Here is a 27399-nt window from a genome sequence, read left to right on the forward strand (position 1 = left end):
AGACATTAACACCCCACTGTCAACATTAGACAGATCAACGAGACAGAAAGTTAACAAGGATATCCAGCAATTGAACTCAGCTCTGCACCAAGTGGACCTAATAGACATCTACAGAACTCTCCACCCCAAATCAACAGAATATACATTCTTCTCAGCACCATATCACACTTATTCCAAAATTGACCACAGAGTTGGAAGTAAAGCTCTCCTCAGCAAATGTAAAAGAACAGAAATTATAACAAACTGTCTCTCAGACCACAGTGCAATCAAACTAGAAATCAGGATTAAGAAACTCACTCAAAACCTCTCTACTACATGGAAACTGAACAACCTGCTCCTGAATGACTACTGGGTACATAACAAAATGAAGGCAGAAATAAAGATGTTCTTTGAAACCAATGAGAACAAAGACACAACATACCAGAATCTCTGGGACACATTTAAAGCAGTGTGTAAAGGGAAACTTATAGCACTAAATGCCCACAAGAGAAAGCAGGAAAGATCTAAAATTGACACCCTAACATCACAATTAAAATAACGAGAGAAGCAAGAGCAAACACGTTCAAAAGCTGGCAGAAGGCAAGAAATAACTAAGATCAGAGCAGAACTGAAGGAAATAGAGACACAAAAAACCCTTCAAAAAATCAATGAATGCAGGAGATGGTTTTTTGAAAACATCAACAAAATTGATATACTGCTAGCAAGACTAATAAAGAAGAAGAGAGAAGAATCAAATAGACACAATAAAAAATGATAAAGGGGATATCACCACCGATCCCACAGAAATACAAACTACCATCAGAGAATACTACAAACAACTCTATGAAAATAAACTAGAAAATCTAGAAGAAATGGATAAATTCCTGGACACATACACCCCCTCAAGACTAAACCAGAAGAAGTTGAATCTCTGAATAGACCAATAACAGGCTCTGAAATTGAGGCAATAATTCATAGCTTACCAACCCAAAAAAGTCCAGGACCAGATGGATTCACAGCCGAATTCTACCAGAGGTACAAGGAGGAGCTGGTACCATTCCTTCTGAAACTATTCTAAGCAATAGAAAAAGAGGTATTCCTCCCTAACTCATTTTATGAGGCCAGCATCATCCTGATACCAAAGCCTGACAGAGACACAACAAAAAAAGAGAATTTTAGGTCAATATCCCTGATGAACATTGATGCAAAAATCCTCAATAAAATACTGGCAAACCGAATCCAGCAGCACATCAAAAGTCTTATCCCCCATGATCAAGTGGGCTTCATCCCTGGGATGCAAAGCTGGTTCAACATACGCAAATCAATAAACGTAATCCAGCATATAAACAGAACCAAAGACACAAACCACATGATTATCTCAATAGATGCAGAAAAGGCCTTTGACAAAATTCAACAGCCCTTCATGCTAAAAACTCTCGATAAATTAGGTATTGACGGGATGTATATCAAAATCATAAGAGCTATTTATGACAAACCCACAGCCAATATCATACTGAATGGGCAAAAACTGGAAGCATTCCCTTTGAAAACTGGCACAAGATAGGGATACCCTCTCTCACCACTCCTATTCAACATAGTGTTGGAAGTTCTGGCCAGGGCAATCAGGCAGGAGAAAGAAATAAAGGGTATTCAATTAGGAAAAGAGGAAGTCAAATTGTTCCTGTTTGCAGATGACATGATTGTATATTTAGAAAACCCCGGCCAGGCACAGTTGCTCATGCCTGTAATCCCAGCACTTTGGGAGACCAAGGCGGGCAGATCCCGAGGTCAGGAAATGGAGACCACCTTGGCTAACATGGTGAAACCCTGTCTCTACTAAAAATACAAAAAATTAGCCAGAGTGGTGGCAGGTGCCTGTAGTCCCAGCTACTGGAGAGGCTGAGGCAGGAGAATAGCATGAACCTGGGAGGCGGAGCTTGGAGTGAGCCGAGATCTCGCCACTGCCCTCCAGCCTGGGCGACAGAGCAAGACTCTGTCTCAATTAAAAAAAAAAAAAAGAAAACCCCATCATCTCAGCCGAAAATCTCCTTAAGCTGATAAGCAACTTCAGCAAAGTCTCAGGATACAAAATCAATGTGCAAAAATCACAAGCATGCTTATACACCAATAACAGACTAACAGAGAGCCAAATCATGAGTGAACTCCTATTCACAATTGCTTCAAAGAGAATAAAATACCTAGGAATCCAACTTACAAGGGATGTGAAGGACCTCTTCAAGAAAAACTACAAACCACTACTCAAAGAAATAAAAGAGGACAAAAACTAATGGAAGAACATTCCATGCTCATGGATAGGAAGAATCAACATCATGAAAATGGTCGTACTGCCCAAGGTAATTTATAGATTCAATGCCATCCCCATCAAGCTACCAATGACTTTCTTCACAGAATTGGAAAAAACTACTTTAAAGTTCGTATGGAACCAAAAGACAATCCTATGCCAAAAGAACAAATCTGGAGGCATCATGCTACCTGACTTCAAACTATACTACAAGGCTACAGTAACCAAAACAGCATGGTACTGGTACCAAAACAGAGAAATAGACCAATGTAATAGAACAGAGCCCTCAGAAATAATACCACACATCTACAACCATCTGATCTTTGACAAACCTGACAAAAACAAGAAATGGGGAAAGGATTCCCTATTTAATAAATGGTGCTGGGAAAACTGGCTAGCCATATGTAGAAAGCTGAAACTGGATCCCTTCCTTATACCTTACACAAAAATTAATTCAAGATGGATTAAAGACTTAAATGTTAGACCTAAAAACCATAAAAACCCTAGAAGAAAACCTAGGCAATACCATTCAGGACATAGGCATGGGCAAGGACTTCATGTTCAGAACACCAAAAGCAATGGCAACAAAAGCCAAAATTGACAAATGGGATCTAATTAAACTAAAGAGCTTCTGCACAGCAAAAGAAATCACCATCAGAGTGAACAGGCAACCTACAGAATGGGAGAAAATTTTTGCAATCTACTCATCTGACAAAGGGCTAATATCCAGAATCTACAATAACTCAAATTTACAAGAAAAAAAAAACAACCCCACCAAAAAGTAGGCAAAGGATATGAACAGACACTTCTCAAAAGAAGACATTTATGCAGCCAAAAGACACATGAAAAAATGATCATCATCACTGGCCATCAGAGAAATGCAAATCAAAACCACAGTGAGATACCATCTCACACCAGTTAGAATGGTGATCATTAAAAGGTCAGGAAACAACTGGTGCTGGAGAGGATGTGGAGAAATAGGAACACTTTTACACTGTTGGTGGGACTGTAAACTAGTTCAACCATTGTGGAAGACAGTGTGGCGATTCCTCAAGGATCTAGAACTAGAAATAGCATTTGACCCAGCCATCCCATTACTGGGTATATACCCAGAGGATTATAAATCACGCTGCTATAAAGACACATGCACACGTATGTTTATTGAGGCACTATTCACAATAGCAAAGACTTGGAACCAACCCAGATGTCCAACAATGATAGACTGGATTAAGAAAATGTGGCACATATATACCATGGAATACTATGCAGCCATAAAAAAGGATGAGTTCATGTCCTTTGTAGGGACATGGATGAAGCTGGAAACCATCATTCTCAGCAAACTATTGCAAGGACAAAAAACCGAACACCGCATGTTCTCACTCATAGGTGGGAACTGAACAATGAGAACACTTGGACACAGGAAGGGGAACATCACACAATGGGGCCTGTCATAGGGTGAGGGGAGGGGGGAAGGATAGCATTAGGAGATATACCTAATGTAAATGGCGAGTTAATAGGTGCAGCACACCAACATGGCACATGTATACATATGTAACAAACCTGCACGTTGTGCACATGCACCCTAGAACTTAAAGTGTTATAAAAAATAAAAAATAAATAAATAAATAATATAAAACTACATAATAGGACTGTCCCAATATTCATGGACTTGTTCTCCTATATTCAGTTTCCTAATAAGGAAGGACTATTCTTCTCCACATAACAGAAGAGAAAAATCGACCCCCCCCCAAAAAAAAAAAACCTTGTGCAAATATATAATGAAATCTTACATTACGAAATTATGTAGCACTTTTAAACTCTTTGCAACTTATTTCCATTCAAAACCATCATGTAAGGCAGCAGGAGTGATATCATCTTTCCCATCTTACTTAGATGAAGTAGGGACACTTGCCTGCAGTCTCCCTCTGGCACCTGATCTTAAGTCTCTGATTCTCACATCAGGGCCTTTCCAGTGCACTCGCATTATTGTGAATACAATTGCTTGGATTCCTAGGGGAACTATTTCCTACATTAAGAAAATTCCCTAAAATTCCCAGTTGTCTTTTGACTCTATTAATATAGGAAAAGTGCAAAAAATCCAAAGAAAATCAGCCAAGAGCAGTTTCTTCACCCTACTGTGTTATGTACCAAATTGATTCTTGGCATAAATTTGCACCCTCTATGGCCTGGCTCATCTACAGCTTCGTACTGAGAGCCTGTCATACCCAAAACCACGGCAGGCCCATGGAGAGCCCAAGTGAGATATATCTGTGAAGTGAATAAGGTAAGAAGGTAGGCTTTGATTCCCACATCTAGAGCATGTCCATGAGAAGCCCTGGCTATAACCATCCTAACTGCTGTTTCTTCCCCTGTACCCTTATTTCACCGGGTTCACACCTCTGGGGCCATTCCACCCAACAGGCCTTTTCCATGGATCTCTGGCTCCAACTCATTTCCAAATACAACTATAGCAGTAAATTGGGCTCTAAAACATAGGTAAGGTAGTGATAGCACTGATGTTCACATATGGATCTTTTGAGACCCCTTTCCTAGGACTGAATTTCCTTCTGACACAGACCTATGGGAACTCTGCTAGACTCCACTGGTCTGAACACTGACACTTGGAAGCCTTATAACTGCATCTGTCCAGCTTCAGACAGAGTGCCTGATCAGATGTGAGTTCCCTACATCTCCGGAAGCTGGTGATTCAGACTGCCAGACATTCTCTGGGCAGGCCAGCATTTGTTATCTTTAAATCTCTTTCTTGCTCTCTCTCCTGACTCTCTTCCAACATTAAGAGTTCTCAGCATGTTATACAGTTGGATCCCTGCTATATAATACTGGACAGAGGAACCGCTCTTATATAGTTTCTATTAATTCTACTGGAATTCAGATGCTCGGCCTGCTTAAAAAACAATGAAATGTTTTCAAAATGATAAGTACCAATAAGCAAAATAATCATGATGGATATCTTCTAAACTACCCAAATATTCATCACTAAGGAGTGAAGTATTTTACTCGGGTTTGTTAATACACTTTCCATCTTAAAGAGGTCAACACATGAAAAGCTTACTATTTGTCAATTATGTTTAAATGAAGAATAACCTAATTGGTTCTTTATTCCTAGAAAGTATTACATTGGTATAATATTGCACTAGGTTGAAAAGAATAATCCCTAGGATTCTTGCACAAAGCTTTCCAGTTCAAAATAGTTAAGCAATTTAACAAATGACACAAAATATCTAGAAAGTCTGCTATATTTTGAGACACAAGTACCAAGAGCTCCAACTACAGAATCTAACTGAGGGAAATAATACAGATGTACTTGTCTCTCTTTCTCCCACTAAGTAACAACGAAAAACACTGGACATTATCTATAAAAATCAAACATGAGAAAATTCTAATAAGTGGAGACAAGAAGGCAGATTAGCTAGAGAACTTTGAACCTAAGGAATGATACAGTAATTAGTTCCCTGGCTTTCTTTCTGACTGATACAGCCCAGGCTGGATATTAAAGAAGTCAGCAACCTGGAAACATCAATGGGCAAAGCCAAAGAACAGCCCCTAGAAAAATCTATTCTCTCTAGCCAAAGGACAAGCAAAGGGATGGTAACAGCAAGACAGAAAGCTTTAGTTATTATCTAAACACTTCTACTCTGCCCAACACCATGGCGAAAACCACGCCCTAACCCTTCCAGCAAAGGCCTAAGCAGAGAACCTAGATTTCCAGCTTTGCCGTGCTGTATCAAGGTATTTCTCCACCCCCACCAGTGCCAAAGAAGGCACAGACTGAGAACTGGGACTTCCATTCCAACCAGGCAGTAATGAGGTATCCCTCCCTTTTTCCAGTGGGCGATGTCAGAGAGGACTTAATGGAGAGTTGAGACTTTTACCATAGCTCAGTGGTAATAAGTTCCCAAGGAGCCAACCCCTTGACTCTGGTCAGTAAAGGCCTACAGAAGAACTCAGACGTCCACCCCCATCTCACAATAATAAGGCAGCACCCCCTTCACACATCAGAGCAATACATATCAAAGGAGGCCTGTAAAAAAACCCTCAAAACCCAAGATTTAAGTAGGATCCAGAGTCTCATAACATAAGATCCCAAATGTCCAGATTTCAATAGACAATCACTCATCATACGAAGAACCACAATACCAAACTGAATTAGAAAAGGCAATCGACAGATGCCAACTAAGATTACCTAGATGAGAGAATCACAACGAATTCAAGCAGCCAACATAAAATGATTCAAGAAATAAACATATCTGAAACAAGTGAAACAGAAAGTTTCAGAAAAAAAGAGGGAAAAAAAATAAGAAAGGATAAGTAAAGACAAACCAAATAGAAATTTTAGAACTAAAAAGTAGAATATACACAATGAATGAGCTCAACTGTAGAATGGAGGAGATAACAAAAAGAATCGGTGACCCTGAACAGAGAACAAGAAAAATTAGCCAATTTGAACAACAGTGGAAAAAAAAAAAGATGGGGGAAAAATGACCAATGTTTCAGAAATGTATGGGACTATAACAAAAGCTCTAACATTTGTGTCATTACACTCCCAGAAGAACAGAAGAAGGTGATGATGAAAAAATATTCAAAGAAATGCTGGCTGAAAATTTCCCAAATTTGGCAAAAGCCAAGATCTGTAGATTGAAGAAACTGAGAAAACTCTAAACCAGGTAAATCCCCCAGAATCCATGCCAACACACATCATATTCAGACTTCTGAAAACTAAAGACAGAAAAATTCTTGAAAGCAGGCAGAGACAAGATTTATTAACTGCAGAGAGGAAAACAGTTTGAACAGTGGATTTCTCATCAGAATCTGTTTGCCTTTTTCATTGCCTTAATAATTTCTAAAGCACCTCTGTCTGCACTTCATTCAAAATTTTATCTGCCTCACTTTTTCTTTAAATAAAAATCTAGGTAAATAGTAGACCACAACACATAGTTCTCACCTATGTTTTAAATTGAAAAACATCAATGTGGAGTAGTATTTTCAAAGATGAGTGCCCCTAAAGTGTTAATGTTCTTCTCTACTTGGGAGAGGGTTTCAGGCTTGGTGCCACAGGATTTGCCCTTTGTGGCTTCTCACATCCCAGACTTAGAAAATATGAGCTGTGATACAGAGAAAGGTAAGAAGCTCAGCAGAGCCCCTTAATGATAAATGAGTTTGCATCATCTGTCATTAGAACTTCCTGCCAACTGGGTCATTCCCTATTAAATTACCACTTGTCAATGTTTAAAATACTGATTGATAAATGACTGTGCCAAAACTGATAACACAACAGCTTTTATTTTCTAATAATCTTAGTTACTACAGCCTGCTTGTCAAGGCACAGACACCATACTTTTTTTCCGTTTTTAAACGACTTTACCAAAAGACAATTTAATCTAATGCAGTGCTATCAGGTATACTGTCTGGCCCCTTATATGTCACATACATGCTGGCTCCACTTGCCAAAATAAACCTACTGGCGATTTAGTGATATGGGGTGCTCCAAGTTACACATTTCATCAAATGCTAGTAATCTGTTTTATCAATATAAACTGTAATTTAATGAAAAAATTCTTTTCTTCAGTACACTTCACTTTCAATGCCCTTGAGTATAATAATTTGCTCATGCTGTAGAACAAGAGCGTGTTTTACAAGACCTTAACTCTCAGGAGAAATTTCCCTATAAATACAAAATTTGAGTTTTATGGGAGTGTGTTGTATGCACATGAGTAGTGCCCACACTACAAAACAAAACAAAACAAAACAAAACAAAACAAAACAAGAGGTTGCACTTAGATTTCAGCTTAAATATCCTTCTGAGATATTGTATAACGGACTTGTTATTAGAACAAAGCTTAGATGAGCAACTAGAAGATAGGTTAATAAAATGGCATTTGTATCCCAGAGGTCTCTGAATCAAAATACACCAGAACATACTGCAGGCATATGTTAAGGCAGAATCAATCATTGGAATTCACAGCAGTTTTAAAAATCTGAAAATTCAGGCCAGGCATGGTGACTCATGATTGTAATCCCAGCACTTTGGGAGGTCAAGGTGGGTGGATCACTTTAAGTCAGGAGTTTGAGACTAGCCTGGCCAACATTGTGAAACCCCCTCTCTACTAAAAATACAAAAAAATTAGCCAGCTGTGGTGGCACACAACTGTACTCCCAGCTACTCTGGAGGCTGAGGCACAAGAATTGCTTGAACCCAGGAGGCGGAGGTTGCAGTAAGCCGAGATCACACCACGGAACTCCAGCCTGGGTGACAGAGCGAGACCCTGTCTAAAAACAACAACAACAACAACAACAACAACAACAAAAACTGAAATCTCTACGGTGGTTGTCTCTTTCTTAGTGATTCAAAGTAAGAATGCTCTGGCTAAGTTTAAGCAAGGTTTTGTACAGCCAAAATTGCATACAAATTTATATGAAAGTTGGCCAATCTTGATTCTCTGTAAAACCATTCAAGGCTCCTCTTTCCTAGTGAGGTTGCCTCCCAAAAAATTAACTGTGGCATCATTTGTTTCTACTTCTTTCACACTTACTACTAAATGTAGGCAAGGGCCAGTTTGGCAGTTGGAAGAGTGATGATCCACCAGGACATCGCTCCCTGTGGTTTCACACACCTATGTTTTGGTCATTATCACTATTTTTGTTTTCTCCAAGCACTTTTTTGTTCATTCAAAGTGCTTGGTGGCAATGTCACTGGAAAAAATAATGAAAACAACAGAAACATGGGACCAATAATTTCTTACCTGTGCCATTCCTTTCTGCAGCACTTTTGTCTTATTTGTCTTCTCTGTTATACACAGGTCATAACTGAGTGGCTATCATGTCTTTCTCCAGGATTTGTGTGTTACAATACTACATGGTCAAAGTTGAGCAAAAGTTTAATAATAAATGCAAGCAAATGGTATTCAGAGAAATTCTTTCACTAGAGATGGCAGGGCAAACTGCTCCAGGGCAGGGCAAAAGAAATCAGGAACTGCAGTAACTCACAGGCAGGGAGATAAAATGTATTACCCTGCAAGTCTGTTTCTTCTAGTTGCTACTACCAAGCAGGGAAGAGCAGAAATCTCCTGAGTAACTGTCCAGGGAGAGTGAGTAATAAGTTGTATGAGTAGTACGTTGAATTAGTAAAATATATCCATGCAAAACACAGCTCTTTACATAAATATGTACACCATAACATTCTATGGTGTCAGCAATTTCTGCCAAGTGTTTTATCTACTAGTAAATTTAAAAAAAAATCTGTATTTGCTTATATATTAGTCAACCTTAACCCAGCAAGTAAGGCAAACTGTGAGTTGCCAAAATAAAGTTTCCATATGAGATTTTTATGTGTGTGTTGGGGTGGGGGGGTGGGGGGGAGTAGATTTATGTGAGGGGTGTGTGTGTGTGCATGTGTGTGTGTGTGTGGTAGAAAACACATTTTTTAATCATCCTAATTCCACCATTCAGATGTAGTTCCAGATCATGGTTTGTTTCTACCCTTCTAAAAATGTTTTTCCATTAGTAAATTTATGTAATCTGTGCACATCTTAAAATGTGGGGCTTATTCACAGGCAATAGATTACAAAAATAGAACTCCCGTACACAATGCCTTCAAGGACCAGTGGACTGCCATACCCTATGTCTATGAAGTGGGTTCAAATGAGCTAAAACAGAACCATTTCAGCTGTTCCACTCAACCTGAGAGAGAGAGCACATGCAAGAGAAATATACTCGAGCAATCTACTCCTGATTTTTTGTATCTTCATATCACTGTAGATTGTGCATTTCTTCATAATTTTTAAATCCCTTTCATACAAATTACAATCCCATGAGGCTAATAGGGAAAACATTATTGTTTCCGTTTTACAGATAAGAAAAGGGAGCCCAACTGTAGTTTAGAGCAGCGAGTCAGAACAAGAGCTCAGGTCTTACTTGAGATTCAGGGCTGCCTTCAAAGTTTATTCCCAAATGGTCTATGCTATTGAGGGTCCTGGGTTTTTGGGGTTTTGTCACTCTAGGGACTACCAGCACACTCTAGAATAGTTTTCAAGATCTCATGTGAAGCAGTCAGTGAGTAAATGTCAAAAAAGTGAAGCCTGGTGAATACCGGTCTCTATTTAAAAGAAGTTCTCCTATGGACAGCACCCCGCATACCACCTGACAGTCAGTAATAAATGCCCATTCCTTCCTTCTATATATTTAACAGGTGAGCAGGGCCTACCTATCCTGACTCTCCAGCAAATGTTCTTCACTCCGATCTGCACTGTTTTCACGCTGACAGTAGATTAGCATTTTCCACTTTCATGTAATCAGCTAGCACCTGATCCACACAGCTCATATCCTCTCCTTTTTTCAAATTCAACCTCACAGAAGCACCAAGTGAAATCATCAATACCTCATTTTTCCATTTCCACTTCCTCAGTCTGTCAACTCTAGCCATTTCCTAGCTCTCTTATCTGTGAGTCCCTTTTCTTATTTTTTAATCTTCATAACTCAGCCCATATAACTCCTCTAGGAAAAAATTATAAAACATAAAAACTTTCAGACTCCGAAATTAACACGGCAATGCATAATTTTCTAAGCACATTAAGTTTCTAACAATAATAAATAATTACATCATTAAATAGCATAAAATACTAAAGTTTGAGTGATAAACATTGTAATTCTTTTGCTAGTGTCTTGTTTGCCTTATGATAAATAACTGACTTTGACTTTTAAATAGGTCAGTGTGAGCTGAGTTTTTATTTGACAGGTTGATAAGTTAGTGTTTTCTGTGTAAAATGTGAGTTTCAAATGTCAATTTTCCATGCATATACATAAAATGTTAATGCATATATAATGTGAAGTATTTTAAAGTACTTGAGATTTATCTAAAACCTATAGTATACTAATTTATTTATTCATTTATTTATTTATTTATTTTTGAGACAGAGTCTCACTCTGTTGCCCAGGCTGGAGTGCAGTGGCGCCCTCTTGGCTCGCTATAAGCTCCACCTCCTGGGTTCACACCATTCTCCTGCCTCAGCCTCCCAAGTAGCTGGGACTACAGGTGCCCGCCACCACGCCCGGCTAATTTTTTTGTATTTTTAGTAGAGAGGGGGTTTCAACGTGTTAGCCAGGATGGTCTCAATCTCCTGACCTTGTGATCTGCCCACCTCGGCCTCCCAAAGTGCTGGGATTACAAGCATGAGCCACCGTGCAGTACACTAACATTTTTAAAACAACACCTGTCTCCTAACAATCTGGTATTTCATATGACTTGAAATGTGTTATTGTCTTTCAACATTTGTATCAGCAAGTAGTATCAACTAATATTTTCTCATCTGTCTTCAACTCTGTAGCATGCTATAAAAATGCCATGGCATCTGAAAAGTTACAGTAAGCAACTACTACATCAATCAGTTCCCCTTATGAGTTCCACCTTAAAATTCAACTATGAACTGTTGAATGTAAAGATTTATCCATATTCCAAAAAGCTAAGTATCTCTCTGGCTATTACCGAGATTAAAAACTAAAAATATTTTTAAAACACAGGATATGTCTTATACCAGTTCCGGCTGTAAACAAACATTCATAAAAACACAAATATCAATTTTTCAAGTTTGGCAAAAACTATGCTCTATGATGTTGAATTTGCATTAGCCATAGAAATACGGATTGTGGGCCAGGCGCAGTGGCTCACGCCTGTAATCCCAGCACTTTGGGAGGCCGAGGTGGGTGGATCACGAGGTCACGAGATCAAGACCATCCTGGCTAACATGGAAACCCCGTCTCTGCTAAAAATACAAAAAATTAGCCGGGCATGGTGGCGGATGCCTGTAGTCCCAGCTACTTGGGAGGCTGAGGCAGGAGAATGGTGTGAACCTGGGAGGCGAAGCTTGCAGTGAGCCGAGATCGCACCACTGCACTCCAGCCTGGGCGACAGAGCAAGACTTCATCTCAAAATAAATAAATAAATAAATAAAATTTAAAAATATGGATCGTGAAAATTCCTGGGTAGCAAAGGACTCAGCAACTTTGGGTCCCCAGAACTTACTCAGGGTCTGGATGCCTTGTTGGCCCAAATAAAGGTTTCACAGATTAATCCTTGCAATTATACACTAGGTAAGAATCTTAATGTTTAAATACAGGGCTGGTAATGTCTGGGCAAGAGACCAGATAGATGAATAGTAGGAACTATGGGTTAGGTTTAGGGTTCAGGAAGAAAATTAATTCCTAATTAATGCAGGATTAATTCCCAGAGTTCATTTGTTTACATAACTACAAAGAATTAAAATTAAGAGGTATTGAGAGGCAGCAAGGAATTCAGATTACGTGAATCTGATTTCTAACTTTGCACTAACCATGTGCACAAACCCTGAGATAGTCACACCCCAAGCTACTGCTATGAGGAACTATTGCCTTTCTAAAATACAAGTCAGGCCATGTCTTAGAGTATTCCCTGAGATGAAAATACCTTCCTGCTCCTGTTAGATAGGCAAAGGAACTCTTTTCCATCCTCCAAGGCACAGCTCCAATGTCGTCTTCTCTGCAATCCCTGTCCTAACTCTACTTCTGGTGTACCTCATACAGATTGTGCACATTACATGGTACAATGACCAGGGAAGCAAAACCAGAAGACTGGTGAAATGTGAAGGTTCTCCAATCCAAGGGCCAAGGCCAGAGGCCAGCCTTGCCATCTGACTGCCTGTAGGACCTCTGGCAAGGTGCTTAGGATTTCTACACTTTGGATTTTCTACTGTAAAATAAGACAGAGTACCTGCTTCATGGGGCTGTCTCAAGAAACAAAGAAAATCACAAATATAAGGAGTCTACTGTCTAAAGCTGAGTGCTCTTGCTGTTCATACTCTTCTCTTCTTTTTTCTTCACTAGATCCTGTGCCTCTAGAATATAAGCACCCTGCGTTTGCCCATATTAAAAACAAAACAAAACAAAACAAAAAACAAAAAAAACTAACACCTGCCCTAGAAACTACAGTGTTAAAATATAAAATTAATTCATAAACTGAAGTGGTATTGAATAGTTTTAAAGGCAGTAATGTGACAAAGTTACTGTTATTATATATCATTAGGATATTAGAGAGCAGAGATAGTGAAGGGTTGGAAAGAAGTCATGATAAATCTTCAGAAATTTTATGAAAGAATGCAAAAGAAAAAATATGAGATTTGTGGTATATAATAAATATCTATTGGGAATGCAATTCCAATTTCCCCTAGTATGAGATGATCTAAAAGTTGTGAAAAATATCTTAAGACTTTGCTGCCTTTCAACCTTCTTATGCACGTCACCTTTTCTATCTTCTGACCCACCTCACTTGCTGAGCCTTCCATACCTACTACCATCATGCTAGCCTCTAGGTAGGTACTTAAAATCTGTAGTGCCTCACTCAAGTCCAACTGCCCCAATATCTGTATTACCCTTTACTCTAAACTCCCTCACCTTCTGGGTTCCTGGGAAAGAACAAAAGATTTGGGGGTCAGAACATCCAAGTTATAGTTTTGGATCTAGAGGTTAATTCCTCATCTTTGTAAGATAACCAGAAGGAAATAACTATGAATAAATTATAAGCTAAAATTATATGATGGACATCTGCTTTTAAGAATATCTTTATGGATACATAAAGCTATGATGACAGTTATGAATCTTCTCAAAAAGCACACACATTTACACACATTCCCACGAAATTTTATATATAATTTCAGGAGTTATCTGGCAACCTTCAACTATAAAAAGGGATTTCGGTAAGAACTGCTTCTTAACTGGTGACAGAACTTCAGGAAGTATTAGGGAGATGCTTGGAGGAGAGTTTGAAACTTCTGAGCTACCCCTTAAATCATACCATTTCAAGAGCTGCCTAAACCGAAAACAAAACAAAACAAAAAAACAAACAAAACTGGCTCTGCCTTTTATTGATTATAATAGTGTTTCATCTTCGTTACATCCAAACCAACTCACTTTCTCTACATTTTCTGATACTACCTTGCCCTGTTTCAAAGGGTAACGGGATCAGCATCTCAGTAATAATAGTTTCCATATTTAAATATAACCATTGAAGACCATATTTTCTTTCCTTTCAATCATTTAAAGGGAACAGCTAAGACTCAGTGTAAGCTGTCTTTACCTGTTGTGCCAAACCCCTATCAAGGCCAATGGGGATGGCACTATGTTCAAGGGGTTGAAGAAGAGACTCAGAGCCATTGAATGAGACATGGGGTTTTACCAGGGGCTTACATACAGAGGGGAGAGTCTAGGGATAGTGGACTGGGCAGGAGAAGCACTGGTCTGGTGGCGGCACACTGGTCAGGAGAATCACTACCCTCGCACAGTATGCAGTTTATATAGCATTTTCATTTAGCATCTTCCCACTAACTACCTCCACCTGGCAAACTTCATTTAACCCAAGACAAAGGGCCTTGATCCCCTGTACATGAGGGACAGACCAGGGGCTCAGATGTTCTTCACTGATAAGGAATGAATTTCTGGGTTGGCCACTCCCAGACTCCTTAGCTCAGAACGCTGAACACATTCAGTATGTCTGCCATACAGTCATTCTCAGGGTATGCTTAAGTTGTTGCTGTCAGGTGCATCTACCATACACTACCCTCTGGTCAAAGACACTACCATTGCAATGGGAACAAAAGTATGAAGAAGGGAGGCACTGTGAAAGGAATACTATTAAATAACTCCAAAAGAATTCCTCCTAGAATACAGACTCTGCTTTATAGGACCTAAGACCATTTTAACAAAATACATTTATTGTGAAATGTCTATAAAATCCTGTAAGGAAATATTTGCGGGGCTGTGCCAGCATGAAGCCCTAAAGTTACTCATTCCATCTACTTTGGGGTGTTTTCAAATACCCATGCCAAAGAGGCCCAATATTTATTTCCATAATTGTCTAAGTCCTTTTTGATACTCATTCCCCCTTCATCTTCACCTTTAAAAAAAAGATGATGGTGATGAATAAAAGTTATTTGGTATTCCTAATTCAATTTATGGAGAGAGCCCAGTAGGTAAAAAATAACAGCATTTGAGGAAAAAATTATTCCCTAAAAATATGTTTATACAGTGTTGTAAAATAAAGGGATTTGTAAAAATAGAGATGACTCTTTTTTAATTACAATAATAATGAAAATAGTAGAGGAACCAAAGAGCCTAGAATTAAAATTAATGGCACTATTGTTTAAAATAAGAGAACAGAAATAGATTCCATGTAAATCAGGTTTCTTTAAGCTTCTAATTCCATTTAGCTTGGAAAGACAAGGAGAAAGAGAAGATAAAGCTACACATTTAAAACTGACAAAGGGCAGTACTTCTATGCAATTTATAATTAATCTATGGGACCATGTGTCAGTAGAATTTATTGAGAAAAATAGTTTAGTGCTATTTTATAAGGGTAAGACATTAGAAGAAAAAGTATTGCTATTGAAGTTACACTAGCTAAGAAAATATTATAAGAGCTATTAATCATCAAGATTCAGGTCATAAGTTGGCTAGCAGCTGGAGTCAAGAAAAAACACTGCACAAATGGCCAGGTGAATTGCGGGTGTTTTACATCTTTCTTCAGGTGTTTCACTTAAGTCACTGCTAATGGAAAGGATACTAAATGAAAGTCTCTTTCAGCCTAAAGTTTTACAGTATTATGTTCTATCTGGTCATCCTATTTCAATAAGCAACCTACCACAACCCTCCAAAAAACTCTCCTCTGTATTAGGAGAAGGAAAATTTTCGTTCATCTTCTCCATGCAATTATCTACATGTGTACAAGCTGTAAATACTTTACTAAGTATTCACGTATTTTATCAGTGGTCCTTAACCTGGGAAGCTTAAAGATGTATTGATATCTCAGTTCTATTATTGGAAATTCAGATTTATTTTGTCTAGGTTGCTACCTGGGCATAAAGATTTTTGAAACTTCCACAAGATTCTCATATGCAGCTGGGGTTGCAAGCCCAATGTGAAAGGCAATAGAACTGCCTCAAAGTACCCAAAATGAAGGTGCACACACGTGCAGACACATGGACACACACATACACACACGCACCCCTCTTAACAATAATATCCTATAAAAGAAAGACAAATATGACCTGCATAATAAATGATTTATATGTCTTTTTACACACCATATAATTAGATTACTTATCAATTACTTTTTAAAAATTGTTAAATTACCTATCTATAAGGATTTAAAAGCCATATAAGTAGAATTTGATACACTATCATTATATCTTAACTACAAGCCATGGAAAAACAGTGTCCAGCTACTCACCATACCATACTATACCAAATTTTCCCAATCATATTATCACATATTGTTCTTAGAATATTACTTTTTCTGTCATAAAGGTACAGTAATAGATAACTTACACAGACTTCAAAAGTGACAGTAGCATTACCATGATTAAAAGTCTGTCAGTCCTTTTTCACTCTAAGGCATTTTTTGGAGTCTTATAACCTGAACATTTGAGCGTGCTTCAGGCATAAACTTGACTTACCAGACCACAGGTGTAAACTTGAGTATCTATTCCTGATATATAGGTATGAAAATTATTTTATAACACAGATAACTAAATAAAGTTTGTTTTTTCCACATGGCCCATCATCAAATGAAAAGATGATTTTATCATCCTACTTAGAACTTTAGATGATTACTTAGACCAAGGCTGTTTTAAGTCGGACAACTAATCTTTTTTGGTTTAGAGTTCCTCTTTGGATATATCTAAGAATATAAGGAAAACCAACTTCTCAGAAAAGTAAGAACACAGCACTATAGATTGAAATATGATCCATAATTTTTCAGTCCTTGTCTTTTTAATCTTAGAGTCATAGATCCAACTAAAAGCAAGCTTATGGTTTCATATTCTCTAAATTAGAGTGCAAGAAGATCTTTTACACCCATTGATACCAGTGCGTAATAAGAGGAAATAAAATAGGGAATAAGACAAAGATATAGGATCTAGAATCAAAATATCACAAGTTTAAAGTAATTTACAGATTACTTTAACCAAACTTGTAAGAATACAGGAATTCCCTCTAAACAAACTAAAACATTGTTTTCTAGTCAAATAACTTGGATCCTATCAAAAGGACTACAAGAAACTGTCTCTGAGTTCTAACAACTCTATCCATAATGATTCTGGAAGACAGAAGAACATACAAATTATCCACACCCTAGACTGCTAGTAGAAGCGTTCTAAATTTCCTCCTCAACTATGCTTTAAACCCCCAGAATGTTCCTATAGCCACTTTAGTTTATAAGAAGCAAGTGCCATACCAGTGATCTCAGTCTCATGTAACTTTGTGGTACAGTTATTAAGAACACACGCTTTGAAGCCAGACACATCAAAGTTTAACTTATGGTGTCATCATTCATTTGAAATGGGACTACAGGCAAATTACTTAACTTTATCTTCTCATATGTAAATGTGAGTTATAATACCTAACATATTAGGTCATACGAATTAAATAAGATATGCAAAATGAATTTTACAGTACCTCGCTTATAAACTTATTTCTAATATTAACATTAGCAGGATGAAAGGGTCCATTTTCCTGATTTTATAGGCATTACTAAGCCACAGAGTGGAAGCTCTAGATAGAGGGTCAGTCTGAATGGGAAAGAACTGAAGAGCCATGGAGAAGCCACCATCACTGGGAGCTATCCCTGGTGCAGGTTTCAGAGCCAGGGCCCTATTATTCTATGTACCAAAGTTTATTCCTCAAACAAACCAAATTCCGGTGTTCAGTTCTCACCTTGATTTAGTAACAGGTTTCTGCTACCTTGTGTTCCTAAACTTAATTACCATTTGCTTCTCTCAGATGTTGATTTATTTTTCCAAATGAAAACCCAATCTGACACCATTTGCTTCCTTTGCTAGACATTTTTGCATTGAAATTTTTGACATAAGGTTATATCTTTTTATCTCTAACCCCAACAATGACAGTTACTAAAAAACGGTCAATGTTCTTTTCCCCTAAACTTTTCTTAGGAAAACTTACATATGTCTGGAAGAGTAATTAAAATTAATCCAAAGGTTTGAAAAGAATTCAGAGTATTGCTAAGTCATCCCAGGAAACTAGCAGCCAAGTCTTGGAGCTAGAAAATATAGCACAGGTATAAGCACTACTTTTGCCATGCCCATGGCAGACATTACTAATCTATCATAGAATTCGTTTTTAATTCTGAACATCTTAGAATCCTCGACAAGCTCCAGCCATTAAGAGCCAAAAATGCCATGCAAATAGAAGCCTATCATCCCCGAGTTAGTATGAACATGTGAGTTTTTTTAAAAGAAGGCTTTTTTTTTTCTTTTTAAGTCTCAACTGGAACACTGAGCATACATTTATGATTTGAAGAGGCTAGAAGCACCCTTACATTTTAGTTACATAGCATGTAATACATGGTTATTAAAGAATCAGAGCTTCTCTTCTAAGACTGGAGGTGTTAGCCTTATGTCCTGGATAAATTCCAACTTAGGTAATTACATTCTGCTTACCTCAACCCCCTAGCAATTTTTTCAAGTGAATCCACTATTATCCTTCACTTCGTACCCTAACCTGCTGTGTAGTGTTGTGATGAGCTGTTAAACAGCTGCCATGCTTCACTCTACAATGGTGACTGTGCTGCACTGTATAATTTGTAACCATTCTCAGTGTGCTTTGGAATCTTTCAGGATGAAAGTGTTACCCTAAAATGCAAGATATCATCATCATTTTAAAGACATACAGTACAACTGCTTATTTCAGTTAAATTCAGCATAACATATTTAGAAAATACCTTATTTCATGAAAAACCATAAAACTAGGTTAAAATACCCATGAAACATGCTACAAAGATTATATGAAAAGGTATTTAAAGAAAGCAAACTATTTATCAACTATATGAATATTCTGCCAAAGAAAGGAATAGTAGGAAGAACAAATGCTTAAGACATTTTTATTTGAAAATACATCTGCCTTATCAGATGGTAAAAATTCCCAATGTCACCCAAGAAAAACAGTGAAGAGAAAAATTGAACGTTAAGTCAATGGGAAATGGAGGAATGCCAACACGTATGGAGAAAGAGATCAAGGATAAATACAATTTTTAACATTTTCTTATTTTTCATCAGGATAGCCAGAAAATTATACAAATTCATTTTCTTGGAGACATAATTTTTTACTATAGATTGCCTGAGGACACTTGCAGACAGGAATATAATTTTGGCAATACTGAAAATGGTGTCATGATGCAACCAAGAGAGGCTACTGAAGGTATGTGGACCTTCCACAGTTTGTAATTTGGTAGAACTGCTTTCAGTCAGTGGCTCTCAACCTTGGTTTCACAGTAGAATAACTTGTGAACTTAAAAAAAAAAACAATAACAACAAGAAACAAACAAACAAACACCTGGTTCCAACCCCAGATATTCTGACTTAACAGACTCAGAGATCAGGACTTTTTAAAGCTCTCCAGGTGATTATGATGTCCACTTAACATAGAAAAACCACTGCTATGAGCTATATTTTACCAACCTGGTTATGATTGTGGTTTGACTGGCTTTTACTTAAGGCAGAAAAACCAATCACAGTATGTATTTGAGGGGATGCATACAGTCATACACTAAGTCCTCACTTAACGGCTTCAATAGGTTCTTGGAAAGTACAATTTTAAGTGAAACAATACACAAAATCATTTTTTTCCCTCATCAACTTTAAAACAAAACAACATTGAATAAAATGGTATTATTTGAGGACCAGCTGTATGTTGTTTCACTTAAAGTCACAGTTTCCAAGAACCTACTGATAATGTTAAGTGGGGGTTTACTGTACTTCATTAATACAGGCCACACAACTAGACCCCAAAGGCATGTTTCGTGGAGTGATACTTCATCAACTGGGAGGAGAAAGGCTCTATCACCTAAGGACTATATTTTTGAAGGGTCAAAATTCTAATGTAATCTTTTTGGTAATAACTAGAAGGCTTTTTGAACCCGACACAAGTTAGCTCTGGGTATATTATTTGTGCTAAACTGTAAAATCTTATACTAACTTTTTTTCTGACAAATACATCTAAGACATACTCTCTCTTTTTAGAACACACACAAAAAATCTATTAACACATTAACGCTTACCTGCATATTAATCATCTACCTACAGTTAGAAGTAATGCACCCTCAACCCAACCCGCACATTCAGGACATATAAAAGAAATACTTACAAGCATGAAGAGAAACAGGTTTTCAATCAGAGTCAAGTACTCAAAGATTACATATAATGATATGAATAGCTGATTGTTATTGATCATAACAGCCCTCTTCCACAGTGCTAATGCTGAATAACAGCCACTAAATAAAACATAACAAACACACACAAAAAAAATGTAAACAAAACAGAGCAGGTGAAACCTACCCATAAGCAGCAGGAAAGGGTCATGAGTATCCCAAGTTCTATAAAAGGACTAGACTTACATTGCAAAAAGTTGCTGAAAATGACTAGGACTTACATTGTAAAAAGTTATTGAATTGAATTAAGTTAGTCATGAGGGAAGAGATGGAAGAACACACTGACAAAACATGGTAGTGGTATGTGGATTATCCATACAATAGCAAATTGAGTCATATACTTTAATAATCCCTCAAAGCATCAGAAATTGAGGTAGCAACAAAAAGAGGTCAGTTTAGATGCCTGTGAGTGGCGATTAAAGTTGATAAAGTGAAACAGAGGAGTAGGTGTGACCTTATACATGGGAAGGGCAGAGAGATGTGCAGGGAATATATTCCACACTTTACCTATGTTCTCTCTCACATGATCCTCACTTGATCTCTAGGACTTAATGTTAGAGAATCTAAGAGTCTGAACAGGTGACATAAGTTGACCAAGATACACATCTAGAAAGTGGCTAAGACTGGAACCCAAGTCTGACTCCTAAGTTTATGTTCTTCCCCCTGTACCACATTATAACACATGAAACTCTCCCTTACCCTATCCCATACTCTGAACTGACCAGAACATCAGCCCACGCCTCATGACGTCAGCCAGCTATCCCAACAGGACTCAGGGATAAAAAGAAGGATTCACCTGATAGCCACAGGAAGAGGCAGAACAGGAGTGTTGCTACAGCCACCCTGCAATGGAAAATTTAAATAGGCTCTGAAGACAAACCTGGAGGGAGAGCTTAGGAAAAAAATTTATTCATAAAAGATAAATAATTTATATAAAACTTGCAAAGAGAAAGCATTAAAAATTTTGATGGTTGTACATAATACTGATTCACTCAGGATCTGTGGTATCAAATCTCAGAAAAGAGAGACAAGAAAATAACTTACAGGTTCTGAGTTTCAAATGCTGGAAACTCTTATTCCTCACTCTTCAAATAAGTTTTATATGAGTAGCCCAGTGTTTACTGGAAGAACAAAATACGCTATCAGCAAGTGGAGTTCACTGAGTCATATGCATTTTCATCTCAAAATGAGTTACAGATCAGAGAAATAAAATTATTTTCAGTGAAAAATAGCCACAAGTTGTGATGCAACTGAAATATTTGAGACTCTTCTAAGAAATTTCTGAATACCATCTATTCCTGAAGAAATGGATCTATTTTGTCAATGTTGACTAATCCTATTCTACTAACTACTAATGCAGTGAATGACTCTAGTACCACATTTCTAACAATTTCATGAAGTTTTTTCTCTTTGCTTCTAAATTCTGATTCTGCTGCCATAGTGCTCTAACAATCTCAGGTAAACACCTCTCTACTGTAGTTTCCCCAGCTATCAGATAACAGATTTGGATGGGAAGATTTCTAAAGTTTTTATTTCATAGATACCCTTCCAGTTCTGAAAAGTTCTAATTCTATTCTTTCATTAAAACAAAATCGACTGTCTAAAACTGAAAAGAGAATGAACCTGTCTACAGTGGAAATGTAGTTGACATTTTTGTCTGATTTTTCTATTTTAGTTAATAATACAAGAATTTTCAAAAACTTATGAATTGTTTTGAGTTCACTCACCCCCCACCCCTTGTCTTCTCCTTGTCTTTTGTTTCCAACAGAATTTATCACTCAATCCTGGGCATTCTACTGTCCCACTGTCTCTTTTAATTCCATTCTCACAGCATGAGACAGAAGTTCCCTCTTCAATTAATGGAAAATAATTATAATATGCACTTAAGGATTCCGTATTATAAAATAAGTTTTGATATTATAAAAATGAAATATAGTAGCTTTGAATAGACCCATCTTTTACTCATAGATGACTTGGTCTGCTCAAGGTGTCAGTAGTTAGTCAATAAGGCAGATTTGCACTGGATTTGAAATAGGTGGGTGTCCAAAACAGATAAATCAGCTCTCTAAATGTAAATAAATTTAGAGGTACAGGCCAGACTCATGAACTCAAGAGCTGATGACAGGAACAGGAAGCACATTCCCAACTAGGGACTGAATTTCAAATGAGGACTATATTTCCATGGACACATGAAAATATACAGGAGAGAAGAGGTGCTAAAATGTTATTTCTTCTCTTGATGCCCACTAATTATAGGTAAATTTTAGTGTGTGACCAAGGAAGAAATAAGGAAGAACTTCTACAATTTTCATTTCATGGCTATTTAAGAAACAGGACCAAGATTCCAGTTTGGAACAACAGGCAAGAAAATATGAATTTACTGAAGGAGGGCCAAGTATTTAAACATTTCCCAGCATTCTAAAATACAACACTAAACAATCAGAATTAATTCTGTACTGATCAATCCACTTACCATCATTCATCACCCATGTGGAATGTATGAATATCATTTGTGCAGCTAGTGAGCTCACCTTAATTAAAAAGAATTATAACTAGATATCCTATATGAAGTTCTCACTGTTATTTTTACAAAATGTTTTAAAGTACCACATTTAATAGTACTGATAAACAGAAATCTTCCAAACACAGAGAAAAATATTTTATAACTAGTTTCATGAGAACACTTACTAATAAAAATAAATTCGTAGACAACATTGAGTCAAATATAGTAAGAACAAAACAACCAAACTTAAGGAAAGCATATCATTTCTTTTTGTAAATGGATTTGAGACATCATTTATTGAAAAATAACATAGTAGGAAGGCTTTCTTTTTCAATATCTTCAAAGTTAATTTTTTGAATCTCATGATACAGGGCTGACTAATTTCTGGAAAAAAAAAAAAAAAAAGAATAAACCTGTAATAGTAATTTACACTTTTCCCAGCCACCCCCACAGGGGAAAGCCTATCTTTTCTAATCACTCACAGAAGCACCTCTATAGATAGCTGGTAATGATATAAACCTTACAGAGGTAAGAAAGTTCTGTAATTCACCTCCTATTAGGCCAAAAGTGCAGAAGACCCTCAAAACATACAACAGAAGTGCACACATAGAAAAGTACTTGGATCTAATATTCTTAGCAATGTTTCTAAGAAGAATTTTGGCACTCAGTACAGCATAGTAAGGTAGTTAGTACTAGAGAAAGCAACTGTTAATCAAAAAACACAAAACACTAAGTTGACATAAAGTAAACATCATATGATACTCCTAAAAATACTGAAGTTGAGCTGGATTACAATTTGTGGCAGAGCTCTGGCTCTACAGAAAATTAAAGACATTACATATAGGTTAATGAAAGAACAATATCATTTTGTGAACACACAAATTAAAAATAATAACAACAATCATTTATTTAGTGCTTACTATAGCTCAAGAATTTTGCCAAGTATCTTACACACAATACCTCATTTAATTCTCACAACAATGTAACATGACTGAAATTACTCCCCCTACTTGACCAGTAAGAGAAAAAAATGAGGTGGCAAAGGTCAAGCAACTTTATTAACAGCAGCCACTGGTTATCAGAAGACATGGTATTGAAACAGCTCTGTCTGACATCAAAGTCAGTTTTCTTAGGCACTACACCACACTGTCTTATCAACATACAGTACTTCATCTCATGATTCTCTATCCAAAGTGACCAAAAGCAATTATGTTATTGAACTCTGAGAAGACAAAGAGAAGAGTAATTCAATATACTCCTGCTTACCCAGAAATAAAGAGTTGAAAAGATCTGATGGTTTTACAAATTTTGCACTCAGTTTTTATCAATCAGTAATAAATGATAAGAAACAATTATATTTATTTGAAAAAAATAATTTGAGCAGTATCAAGTATGTCAAACGAAAGGGCAAATCCAACCAAACCTTCTGCAAATGCAGGTCAATATAACAAATCACACTTCCTGCAGGTCAGCTCCATCTAAACGAGGCTCTGACTCATCTCTGACTCAATATATACAACGTTGAATTCACCATCTTTATATCAGCAAATCTGTTTCTCAATTCCAATAGCACAGATCTTCCCCCAGTCACTATAATCAATACTTCGAAATCTCCCGGACACTCCTCCATCAAGTTGTCACATCAACTTGCCAAGTGTATGACCAGTTTATTTGTGTGCTTCCTCCTTTTCATTGTTATGCCAGTTCTCCAGTTCATCTCCAATAACCTATTCTAGTAGTTTTTTCACTTGTTTCTCTGTTTCTTATCTCCTTTTCCATCAATATTCTACTCATGGATACCAAGTTATCCATGCTGTAGTGTAACAGTGGCTACCAAATGACTATAGGCCAAAGTCTAAATTCCTTAGTCTTAATCCCATCTATAGTCTTACCACCTCCTCACACAACTAAGTCAAAGATAATTAATCTTCTCTAGATCCAATGACCATTTACTTTCACAATTCTGTGTACCTATATTCTGTCTTCATAATGTGCCCTCTCACTCACTCTAACTCACCTCCATTCCCTAACAGCAAGAAATAACATGGCATTAATAGAAGTAAGTATTAGAGTAAGACAGTTTGGGTAGCTAAGCAATTTCAGGCAAGCTTAACCTTCTGAACCTCGGTTTCCTCACTTGCAAAATGAGGTTAATACTACCTAGCTTCCAGGGGATTGGTAAAGATGAAAAGTAATGTACATAAAGTGTGTGCCCAGAAAAGGCACTTGATAAAGGATATCCATTATGATTATGCCCAAAGCTTGGTGAGTCTTAGTGCCCAGCTCAAATGCCATAAAAATCACATCGTTTTTACTATCTGAACATGCCTGAATATTCAGGTGAATATATTCAGGTGAATATTCACCTGAATATGCCTATTATTTCTACAAAGATCTTAACCTGAAGATTAAAAACTCTGTCTTATTTATCCTTATATCCCAGAATATCTTGTATTTAGCACATAAATAACAAACTTTTAATAGATGTTGGGTGAACAAGGGCATATATAAAACCTCAAAGAATTAAATTACTGGGAAGTAAATTTCATTACACCTAATTTTTTGAGGCATATTTTAAAAGAATTTTCTACATAACAAAATCTTTTATCAGGAATTTATTAGGGAATGAGCCACTCTGGCTAAGAGATTATTCTGGTAGCTTACTTTTCAATGGTATGTTCCAAATTGTTTATTTTTTAATGGAAAACTTCACAGAACATTTCCCAGCATTCTAAAATAGAATACTAAACAACTAGAATTACTTCTGTACTGATCAATCCACTCATCATCATTCATCACCCATGTGGAATGTATGAATATCATAGCCGCTGGGCAGATGTCACAGAACAGCTGTACATGTGACCTTTCATGTCACATGACACAGTACTCACATTGCTAAGTTACAACATTTGGCTGCCGTCATATGGGTTGGTAGAATATAAGACAGTCTCTATCTTTTTATTTACTTGAATTAGTGATAAACTTTAGATCTACAGAATTACTAGAGTTTTCAGAATTTTGTTCCCCTTTGCTTTTCAGGTTGGAGTCATGTTGAATGGACAAACTTGCCAAAAAGCCGATCAATAGATAACAAAAATGGTGATAATGAAAGTACTAATAAAGCTACTAAAATCTGCCAAAAAGTTGTAGGTTGTAGTCAGCACATTACAAAAATCATCTCAATCCTCATAACACACCTAAGGTGGGGGGCTGCTATTTCAATTTTCAGTTTACAAATTCAATATTCAATTTTCAGTTTACAAATGAGAAAACTGAGGCTCTGGAAGGTTTAGTGATTTGCCCTAGGCTGAACAGTGGTAGTTAGAGGTAGAACGCAAACTGGAAACCCTGTATACTGTACTACTGATTTACATCTTTTAATACAGCATTACCCAAAATGGAATGACTGGTAATATATATATATATATATATATATATATATATATAATATAATATAATATATATATAAATATATATAATATAAATTTATATATATATATTTATATATACATATATAAATATATATTTATATTTATATATAAATATATATAAATATATATAAATATATATTTATATATACATATATAAATATATATGTTCATATAAATATATATGTATATATACATATATAAATATATATTATATATGTATATATATAATATAATATATAATAATAATATAATATATATTATATAAATATAATATATTATATATAATATATATAATATATAATATATAATATATAATATATAATATATATTATATATTATATAATATATAAAATATATATTATATAATATATATACATAATATATATAAATAAATATATATAAAGATATAAAGATATAAATATAAATATTATAATAAAAATAAATATAAATACAAATATATATATATATGACTGACAACCAAACTCTCTTTTAACAAAGATAATTAAGAGGAAAATGGTTACAACCTAACACAGCATGAAAGATTTATATTAGATATAAAGGAGATTTCTTGACAGTGAGTAGTGTTATACATTAGAATAATCTATCAAAAGTTTTTTTACACAATAATTCTATAAATTTTTTAATGACATTCAAAAGAAACACGTTTTTGCAATTATTCTGAAGAGCCAAAATAATTGTTAGCAAATATGGTTAAGTTTAAATTTGTAAAGTTAAAGCTTTTCTTCTACTTTAGCTTCAGATTAATATTCAAGAAGACAGTGCCCATTTCATTATTTCACAGAGCAAAGGCAGTAGTTTTACTAGTATGTCCAACATTAATACTGTCTCAAAATATCTGAGAAGTATGACCACATGTGGTAAGAAGATTAAGGTGTTTTCCGGCAACTTCCCTAAAAGCAGA

General features: G+C 36.4%; 1 protein-coding gene across 66 annotated transcripts in view; it reads right to left on the minus strand.

Moving 5' to 3' along the window:
* The window catches only part of QTMAN (queuosine-tRNA mannosyltransferase), a 395002-nt gene that overhangs the window by 168591 nt on the left and 199012 nt on the right, over nt 1-27399 (minus strand). The window contains exons 7-8 of one of the 66 annotated variants that reach the window (NM_001354350.2): nt 21588-21664; nt 21340-21386 (exon numbers count right to left, since the gene is read on the minus strand). The exons of 63 other annotated variants lie outside the window; for them this stretch is intronic. The gene's annotated coding sequence lies outside the window, so the exon portion shown is untranslated. Of the gene's footprint in view, nt 1-21242; nt 21387-21587; nt 21665-27399 lie in introns of all 66 variants that reach the window. 2 more of the 66 variants (NM_001376329.2, NR_164808.2) reach the window with 2 other exon arrangements.

This window comes from Homo sapiens, chromosome 2, assembly GCF_000001405.40.
Source record: "Homo sapiens chromosome 2, GRCh38.p14 Primary Assembly".
In the NCBI taxonomy this organism is placed as follows: Eukaryota; Metazoa; Chordata; class Mammalia; order Primates; family Hominidae; genus Homo; species Homo sapiens.